Source organism: Homo sapiens, chromosome 1, assembly GCF_000001405.40.
Source record: "Homo sapiens chromosome 1, GRCh38.p14 Primary Assembly".
Lineage (NCBI taxonomy): Eukaryota > Metazoa > Chordata > Mammalia > Primates > Hominidae > Homo > Homo sapiens.
Genome location: NC_000001.11, coordinates 202,010,423 through 202,019,048, shown reverse-complemented (window position 1 = coordinate 202,019,048; position 8,626 = coordinate 202,010,423). Strand labels below are relative to the sequence as shown.

General features: G+C 55.6%; 1 protein-coding gene across 3 annotated transcripts, besides 4 other annotated features; it reads right to left on the bottom strand.

Moving 5' to 3' along the window:
* Positions 348–1,116: an enhancer, noted in NCBI's record as "H3K27ac-H3K4me1 hESC enhancer chr1:201987061-201987829 (GRCh37/hg19 assembly coordinates)". NCBI's record gives its function as "activates a minimal SCP1, AML or CMV promoter by ChIP-STARR-seq in primed H9 embryonic stem cells {active_cell/tissue: H9 hESC(primed)}" and the evidence as "EXISTENCE:reporter gene assay evidence [ECO:0000049][PMID:30033119]".
* Positions 1,866–8,462, bottom strand: ELF3 (E74 like ETS transcription factor 3). Of its 3 annotated transcripts, none has more exons than NM_001114309.2 (9): positions 8,229–8,462; positions 7,750–7,920; positions 6,871–7,092; positions 6,613–6,705; positions 6,290–6,409; positions 6,013–6,102; positions 5,751–5,867; positions 5,025–5,220; positions 1,866–3,840 (listed from the first exon to the last, which is right to left on the bottom strand). In NM_001114309.2, exons 2-9 carry the CDS (start codon positions 7,910–7,912, stop codon positions 3,726–3,728), a joined length of 1,116 nt encoding a protein of 371 aa, NP_001107781.1. In that variant the 5' UTR covers positions 7,913–7,920; positions 8,229–8,462; the 3' UTR covers positions 1,866–3,725. The 3 variants fall into 3 exon arrangements, with proteins under 3 accessions (NP_001107781.1, NP_004424.3, XP_005244999.1); NM_004433.5 differs by having other exon boundaries at positions 8,343–8,462; XM_005244942.4 differs by lacking the exons at positions 1,866–3,840; positions 5,025–5,220; positions 5,751–5,867 and having other exon boundaries at positions 6,013–6,198; positions 8,343–8,462.
* Positions 4,619–5,818: an enhancer, noted in NCBI's record as "CDK7 strongly-dependent group 2 enhancer chr1:201982359-201983558 (GRCh37/hg19 assembly coordinates)". NCBI's record gives its function as "activates an origin of replication core promoter dependent on BRD2, BRD4, P300/CBP, MED14 and CDK7 cofactors, with strong dependence on CDK7, by STARR-seq in HCT116 cells {active_cell/tissue: HCT116}" and the evidence as "EXISTENCE:reporter gene assay evidence [ECO:0000049][PMID:35650434]".
* Positions 6,628–7,562: an enhancer, noted in NCBI's record as "H3K4me1 hESC enhancer chr1:201980615-201981549 (GRCh37/hg19 assembly coordinates)". NCBI's record gives its function as "activates a minimal SCP1, AML or CMV promoter by ChIP-STARR-seq in naive and primed H9 embryonic stem cells {active_cell/tissue: H9 hESC(naive and primed)}" and the evidence as "EXISTENCE:reporter gene assay evidence [ECO:0000049][PMID:30033119]".
* Positions 7,563–8,496: an enhancer, noted in NCBI's record as "H3K27ac-H3K4me1 hESC enhancer chr1:201979681-201980614 (GRCh37/hg19 assembly coordinates)". NCBI's record gives its function as "activates a minimal SCP1, AML or CMV promoter by ChIP-STARR-seq in naive H9 embryonic stem cells {active_cell/tissue: H9 hESC(naive)}" and the evidence as "EXISTENCE:reporter gene assay evidence [ECO:0000049][PMID:30033119]".

Here is an 8,626-nt window from a genome sequence, read left to right as displayed (position 1 = left end):
TGTGAGTGTGTGTGACTTTGGTTCCCATGAGTGTGTATGAATGTGTGTGGTGTGTGGGGGAGGTAGTGGCCAGGGCAGGGAGAGTCACGGGGCCATTTAGCAAATATTTATCGAGCACCTCCTCTGTGCCAGGCGCTGTGCAAGGTGCTGAGGTGAGTAAGCCCCAGCACTTGCCCAGAGGTGCTCACAGCCCGGCGAGAGAGAGAGATGTGTAAACAGACAACAGCAGAGAGAGAGAGCAGATTGAAACCAGACTCCTCAGAAATGCAACCCCTTCACCCACTTCCCCCAGGAGAAGCCAGACTTCCCCAGAATTGGTGGGACAGGTGGGGCTGTGGGATAAGCCAGGAACTGTCCCAGGGGGCCAACCCCAGCCCCTCCTCAGGCACACCCAAACACGACGGGAGGGGTGACCTCCCTCTGACCTGCTCAGCGACACACCCAATCCCACAGAAGCAGATAAGAGGTGACCAGCAGCTCCGGCAGGGCGGGATATAAACAGCCCGGCCCTGTGGCTTCCTCCCCACCCCCACTCCCCAGCCCAGGACACACCTGAGGGGATGCAGACTCTGGTGGGCGAGAGACCGGGCCGTCTCCTGCTAGGAGGCCCCTGGGCTGGTGAGAGTCGGGGTAAGGGTGACTGGTGCCCGACAGAGAGGGCAGCACGGAGGCCAGCCCAGGGGCCCGTGCCAGGACTCTGCAGCATCCTGAGGGGTGAGAGGGCAGAGAACTGTTGGGGAGAAAGGCGTCCCTCCCAGAGCTGCCGTCTTCCAGGCTGTCCCAGGCGCTGCCCTGCAGAGGCCACCTGCCCAGGTGGTCTCACTGAGCTGCAGCGTGGAGGCAGGCATGCTGTGAGCTGGCCCCGCTCTCACCCAGTCAGTGACTTCAGCCCACCACTAGCCTTGTCAGTAAAATGGGGACACCTGGTCTCCTCAGCGAGCTGTGGGGCGGATCAAATGAGATAATGGGATGAGGAAAGCGCCTCATAAACTGCAAATGGCAGGGCAAAGGTCAGCACGCAGCGGGCAGCACCTGCCCCCAGCCCTCCAGAAGAGGGTGAAGGGGCTGAGCGCCATATTCCCAGCCCTCCTCCCTGCTAGGATCTCCTTTAGAAGCTGAAGAGGCTGGGAGTCAAGGGAGGCTGAACAAGCATGTCCCGGGCTCTAGAGGCCCCTCCCCCACTTCTTGGCTAGGTGACTTCAGGCCACACTGGGTCACCTCTCTTCTTTTTTTTGAGACAGAGTCTCCCTGTGTCACCAGGCTGGAGTGCAGTGGCATGATCTTAGCTCACTGCAACCTCCGCCTCCTGGGTTCAAGTGATTCTCCTGCCTCAGCCTCCTGAGTAGCTCGGACTACAGGCGCGTGCCAGCATGCCCAGCTAATTTTTGTATGTTTAGTAGAGACGGGGTTTCACCGTGTTGGCCATGATGGCCTCGATCTTCTGACCTCGTGATCCTCCCGCCTTGGCTTCCCAAAGTACGAGGATTACAGGCGTGAACTACCGCGCCCAGCTGGGTCACCTCTTTTAAGGGTGCAAGGACCCCGAGATATTGTGGCTAGGGAAACTAGACCAGAGTCTAATGCATAATTTCCAAGAAATGGGGTCATTTTTAGACTAAGTAGCTGTGAAAGCTTCCCCAGCTTCTGAGGCTAGACCTACGCCCTGGCCCGCATCCCCTTTGTCTAACTGGCTCACACTTCAGAAGGGAAATGTAAGTAAAAGCCTTTTTCCAAATGGCTCCAGGATTCTGGTTTCTCTCATGACCTCACTTTCCTCTCCAATCAACTTCCCCACTCTCCTTTTCCACCATTCCTTGCTTCTCCAGAGCAAGCTGCATTTCCAGAAATCCACACACAAGCTTTAGTTTTTCTAAGATCCCTTCTTTATCCACATCACTTCAGCCAACAATCTGATTGGTATTTCCAAGACAACAGAGCAGTATTTCAAACTCATGAATGGGATTTTAATGTGCTGTATGGAATTTGAAGCCTCAAACTTAAGGAACTTTCCACCTGGAAAGCATTCTTAAGTAACATCAATGAACTGTCCTCCCTAAAACCTAGACACAGTATCACTGTGGAAACAGAGTAATAGTTCTGGAATCGATTGAGGATTAGGTTAGAAGCGCCCACACCAGGAAAAGCTTCCGGGAAACGGTTTTAGGACAGAATCAAGGCACACCTGTGGAACCTCTTTCTGCATCTGTCAAATGGGGACGCTGTGTCTCCTCTCTTCTTAGGAGAGGATTAAATGAGCCAGAGTGGGCTAGCACAGTGCCTGGCATGAGACTACAGTTTCACTGGGTGCTATACTCACTACCTGGGTGACAGGATCATTCGCATCCCAAGCTCAGCATCACACAATATACCCATGTAACAAACCTGCGCACGACCTCCTAAATCTAAAGTAAAAGTTGCAATTAAAAAAAAAAGAGAAAAAGACTACACTTTCAACAAATGCCAACTCCTTCCCTCATTCTTTCTCAGCAAGTACTCATCTCCATTTTGTTTTGTTTTTTTTTTTTTTTCCTTTACAAGATCCTAACTCTGATTTTGTCAGACTCAAAAGCTGGGATTCATATTACAGATATACAGTTTACAGCACACTTGGCTGGAATGCAAAACCATCTATTCCACAAGGCCAGCCATGCAATTCTAGACATCTTGAGAACATCAGGTCCAAACCCTAGCCTAATAGGAAAAATCAGTCCTAAACAGGACAGACTTGGTCAAGGTCAAGGTCACTCGAGCGGTGTCATGACAGCAGGATGCTTCTGACCTCAGTGTTCTGAGTTCATGTCCTTGCTTGCATGAAGTCTTGTAAGCGTTCTCCAACAGTCTCAGCTGCTTCCTTTGCTCGCCTCCCAGCCCAGTCCATGTGTCTGTAAGCCCACACCTGCTACAGGAAATCTGTAACTCCCCTCTTCGTCAGCCTTTGCCCTCACCCTCAGCCTGGTAGACCTTCATTTTCCTCCCCTCCAACCTCTTGACCATATTCGATCCAAAGGCCCAAATTTCAGTACACAGGTAGCTAAGACAAAGGTTAGAAAAAGCCCAGAAGGCACTTTATTGGAGGTCTCTGCCTCCATTCACAGGAGAAAGGAGCTGGGAGCCCCATCCTAAGGGTCCCAGCATCAGCCCACTGGAGGGCCTGGAACAGTCCAGCACTCTGTGGGAGAGGAGTGGGGAGGGGAATGTTTTAGAAAAAATAGATCTCTATGTACATCTGACATATTTATATAGCACATAAATTAGGGAGTGCTCTGACCCCTGCCCGTGGAGCCCAAGCACTGAGCAGGGAGGTGAACGCCAGTCCAGAAAGAAGGTGCTGGAGCCCCTGCTCTGTCCTCTCCATCACGGTGCTCCCCTAGGGCCTCCCCAGGCCTCCTTGGCTCAGTCCAGGTGTCTGCAGGAGGAAGGTGTTGTCTGCATTTAGTGTCTGAGACTGGGTTTGAGGAGGCACCAGATAAAAGGAGATACACTTGCAGCTATAAAGTCAGCTTCAAACCCCAGGGCTTGTAATTCCAAGAGGAGGGTGGGGAGGCGAGGCCATAGTCTCCGAGTCCCAGGACGATGGCTGACAATACACCAAAACATCAGCTTCTCTCCACAGCACAGCTGGGAGCATTCCCCAGTGGAGGGGCCATCTGGCCTGCCTGTCCTCCCAGGAAGGTTTGCAGGCCTCGAGTGGTCCGTGAGTTTGGTCCCGGGTATAGTTCCAACCCTCAGTTCCGACTCTGGAGAACCTCTTCCTCCTTCCAGCCGCTTGAGTTTTTGCCAAACTTGTAGACGAGTCGCCGGCCATCCACCCGTTCCAGGATCTCCCGTTTGTAGTAGTACCTGGGTGAAGAGAAGGATGGTCAGAGGTGCTTTGGCAGGAAATGGGCCCCAGGCTGCCAGCCCGCCCACCTGGCCCGCGTTACCCCCAGGTAACCCATGCCCACTGGTCTCTGCCTGACTAAGCTGAGCCTGACTCACACTTCCTAAACTCCTCTGTTCTTCACACTGGCAAGCAGAAGCTCTTTCCCTACACTGGCCTGTAACCGTGCCCAGGACACAGGGCTCTTTGCCTTTGCTTCTTTGTATCCTATGGCTGTGACTGGGGTCTGATCATTAAATTACATGACTTTTAAGGCCAGGGAGCTGGGCACGGTGGCTCACACCTGTAATTCCAGCACTTTGGGAGGCTGAGGCGGGCGGATCACTTGAGGTCAGGAGTTCGAGACCAGCCTAGCCAACATGGTGAAACCCCCGTCTCTACTAAAAATACAAAAATTAGCTGGGCATGGTGGCAGGTGCCTGTAATCCCAGCTACTTGGAGGCTGAGGCACAAGAATCACTTGAACCCGGCAGGCAGAGGTTGTAGCGAGCCAAGATTGTGCCACTGCACTCTAGCCTGGGTGACAGAGCGAGACCCTGTCTCGAAAAATAAAAAGAAGAAGAAGAAAAAAGAAAAGGCCAAGCATACTGGCTCACACCTGTAATCCCAGCACTTTGAGAGGCCGAGGCAGGAGAGTCATTTGAGGCCAGGAGTTTGAGACCGGCCTGGCCAACGTAGAGACCCTTGCCTCTATTTAAAAAAGAAAAAGAAAAAAAAAGTAAGTACATGATTTTAGGGCTGGACGGGATCTTAAGATGATCTAGTGTACTCCTGGACACAGGAGGAAACTGAGGCCCAGAGAAAAACAACCTAAGTGCTTCAACGAGGAGAAAGCCAGGCCCTGGGTGGGCACGGCTCCTGCCCCCTTTCCCACTCTCCAGGTGCCTTCCTGAGGACAAGCCTCACAGGCGATACAAGAAATGTTGCTGCTAGCTCAAGTGCACTGTGTCTGCTGTCTGCCAGGCTAATACTTTCTCCATGTTGTCATTTAATCCATGAAGTAGACCAACCCAGATGTTGTCCTCACTCTAAGGACTCAGCCCTGTTGCAAGAAGCCAAGTGGCAGCCAGAAAGAGGGCGGTGGGAGTGTGAGCGCCTGTCCCCATGTCCGGCTGTATCGTGAGGGTCCTGGCCGCCAGCTCACCTCATGGCCCGGCTCAGCTTCTCGTAGGTCATGTTGCTGTTCTTTTTCTTTTGGCCCCATAGTTGGGCCACAGCCTCGGAGCGCAGGAACTTGAAGACGCCTTCATGCCGATTCTCCCACTTCATGAGGCCCTCGTTGAGCTCCGGGTGGATGAGGATGTCCCGGATGAACTCCCACAGGTGGGTGCCTCTGGGCGCTGCAAGGCCAGCCTCCATCAGTTTGCCATCCAGGTGTCCCCTCTCACCCAAGGCCAGCCAGCCCTGCCCGCCCCAGTGCACTGCTGACTTGGCCACAGCATGCAGCAAGCCTCTCCAGAGACCCCGCAGTGCCCTCTGTGCGGGTACTGCAGTGACTGCTTTTCTCCTCAGCCCACCTAAGACCCACCAGCTGCCTCCTCACATTGAGGGTGTCCCAGAGGGCAGGACAGTGGCCAAGTGCAGAGAGAACTGGAGTCAGTGGACAGGACACTGGAGTCAGTGGACAGGACTCTGGTACCATGAGCCTCCCACTGGGAGCCTTATTTCCTCCTCCTCTCCAGGACCACCAAGCCAGGCTCTGCAATTAGGTGGTGACCGATACCATAGAGCCCCCAGCTTGTGCACAGCCTTACCAAAGGCCATGCGGAGGCCAGAGAAAACGGGAGAAGGGATACCTGCAACAACCCGCAGTGCCCCAGGAAGCCGCTCAGCCCGGCGCAGGGAGGACCCACGTGCCCCCGGAGCTCACCGTGCTTGCTCTTCTTGCCCTCGAGACAGTCCCAGTACTCTTTGCTCAGCTTTCGGGGCCGGCCTCGTTTCCGCTTCCCGTGCTTGGGATCCCCCTTCTTGCAGTCACGAAAACCATCTGTGGGGACGGTGGTGGAAGGTCAAGGAGGGGCAAGAGGGGAGTTAGGGAGAGTAGCCCCTCTACAGGAAAAGGCTGCAGGAAGAGCCGGGCCCCCTGTGCATTGCTAAATGGGACGCCCTCTTGGGGACCTCCCTCGACTCACCGCTGGGGAAGAGCTTGCCATCAGTGGGATCCAGGTCCACGTCACTTCCACCGGAGTCTGAGGAGTGGGAGCTCCGAGAAGCACCAGTCCCTGGGGGGCGGGGTCAGAGTAAGTCCCCTGCCGGCCCACCCTCTGCTCAACCACGCTGCTGGCTCTCAGGACACACTTCCCAGCCTGTTCCTGTTCCTGCCAGAAGGCCTGAGTTATGGTGCTGGGAGCCAGAGGGAACAAGGGACACTTCGGGGAAGGGAGGTTGTGGCCCAGAGAGAGCTCTCACCTGCGGTGGAGACGTCAGAGCTGCCAGGGGAGGGGGCTCCTGCGCCACAGCTGCCGGGGTGGTAGGGGCTGGCTTGCTGACCGTCGTCCAGCAGCTCCTGGGCAAAGGGGCTGCCCTGGTCTGGGAAGAGGAGGTGAGAACTCAGAGAGGGCTCAGGGGACCAGACCAGGACAGGTGATGCTGCCCATGGGTCTGATGACCTGCTGCAATTTTTCTAATTGAGGGAGGAAGAAGTCTGGGGAGGGGGTCATCTCTAGCACTCTGTGGAGGGGCAGGGATGGGACAAGACAGGCTGGGGAAGGAAGGAGAAAACGGGTTCTCACCAAAGGGCCCTGGGTCTAGGGCCTCCTGGAAGGCCATGCCATCCTTCTCCAGCAGCTCAATGATCCAACTGAGCTCATCAGAAGAGCTGGAAGCTGACAAGGAAGGAAGGAAGGGTCACACTCCCCTAATCCCTCCCTCAAGGGCTCTCTCTGGCTGTGCAGCTGGCCCAGAGCTCCAGGGCCTGCCTACGGCCACACTGAACTCGACTCAGCTCAACATGTGGAGCTGCTCCCCAGCCTCCAGGGGCCTGGACTCACTGAGGTCTCGCAGCTGGGCATGGAGTTGGTCCCCCAGAGGCCCAAAGACCAGACGCAGCTCCTCAAGGGCACAATTGCAGAGGGTGGCGCCATCCATGTCACATCGTGAGAAGTCAATGGCGCTTGCGTCGTACTTGTTCTTCTCCACTTGGTAGCTGATCCAGTCCAGAACCTGCGTCTTCGACCAGAACTGGGGCTGTTCCCCCAACCAGCTGGCCTTCTCTGCAAGGGCCAGGCAGGGAAACAGGCTCAGCTCAGGCCACCCAGCAGACCTTACAGCCCCATTTTTTTTTTTTTTTTTGAGATGGAGTCTCACTCCTGTCACCTAGGCTGGGGTGCAATGGCACAATCTCGGCTCACAGCAACCTCCACCTCCCAGGTTCAAGCGATACTCCTGCGTCAGCCTCCCCAGTAGCTGGGATTATAGGTGCCCACCACCACGCTGGGATAAATTTTTTTTTGTATTTTTAGTAGAGACGGGGTTTCACCATGTTGGCTAGGCTGGTCTCGAACTCTTGACCTCAGGTGATCCGCTCAGCTCAGCCTCCCAAAGTGCTGGGATTACAGGCGTGAGCCACCACTCCCAGCCCACACAGCCCCATTCCTGGAGCACACTGGGGATTCACACCTCAGCCCTTGGAGCCATCCCAAGAGTAGGGGCAGGAGGTAGCATTCACAACACCCTTGTCCTGGTATCTGACACCTCCCTCTGCCTGTCACAGCCCCACAACCCCCAGCACCTCAGTCACTAAGTCTCAGCCTCTAGCCCTGGAATTTGCCTAGAGACCCTCCTCCCTGCCTATTCCCCCATTTGTCTAACAGGCCCTTAGATGGATCTGTCTCCCACTCCGTGCCCCATCCCACCCCGCTGAGACCCACCTGTACCCTCCAATGACATCTGGGGGTTGCTCAGGGTCAGTACCAAGTCATCGGCCCCAAAGGTGGCAGCAGGGGGAACAGAGGCCAGGGTGGAGTCCTCCGAGCTGTACATCGCACTGAAGTAGTTGCTAAAAATGTTGCTAATCTCACAGGTTGCAGCCATGAGGCTACCTGTGGGTAGGGGGAGAGAGGATGAGGTTGGTGAGGGGACGAGGGTCCTCTCCTTACACTCCCAGCTACTCTGCTTTGCCCAACCCTGGGCAAGAGTAGCCCCCAGGGGCAGGAAGATCAGCAACTCTGCGGACACCGTCTCTTCAAGAAGGGCTCCAAGATCTCAGACCAGGGCAGGACCACAGGAGCCTCCAGCTGGGCTTCCCTCCTCAGATCTCTGGGGCCCTGGAGCCAGACTAGCGGCGTCATGGCCATTCTGCCTTCCCAGAGACAATCTCTCTCTGTTCTTTGACCCTCAGGACACCTACGCTCTTGCTCGGAGATCCTAGACTGGAGTGTGCAGGTTCAGAACTGCAAATCCTCTGGACCCCTCTGCAGTTTCCCAAGAGCTGGGCTAGGGAATGACAGGCGGGGAATCCTACCGGAGTGGCGGAGTCCGGCTGTGGCAGGCAGGCCGGCAGGCGGGAGAGAAATCCAGTTCCGCCAGGTAGCGCTGAGGTATCTGGCCGCTGCGCTCCCCTACCCGGCTCTAAATAGAGCCTGGAGGGAGCTCCTCCCTGAGCTCAGGGCTTTATAGTGTGTCCCCTGCAGTAACCTGAGCTGGTGTCTCATTGGATGGAGGGGATTTCCTGGCCTTTAGACTGGGCTCCTGGCCCCAGGTGATTTGCATATTCAGTGCCACTTGGCCCGGATCTTAGCAGGCAGT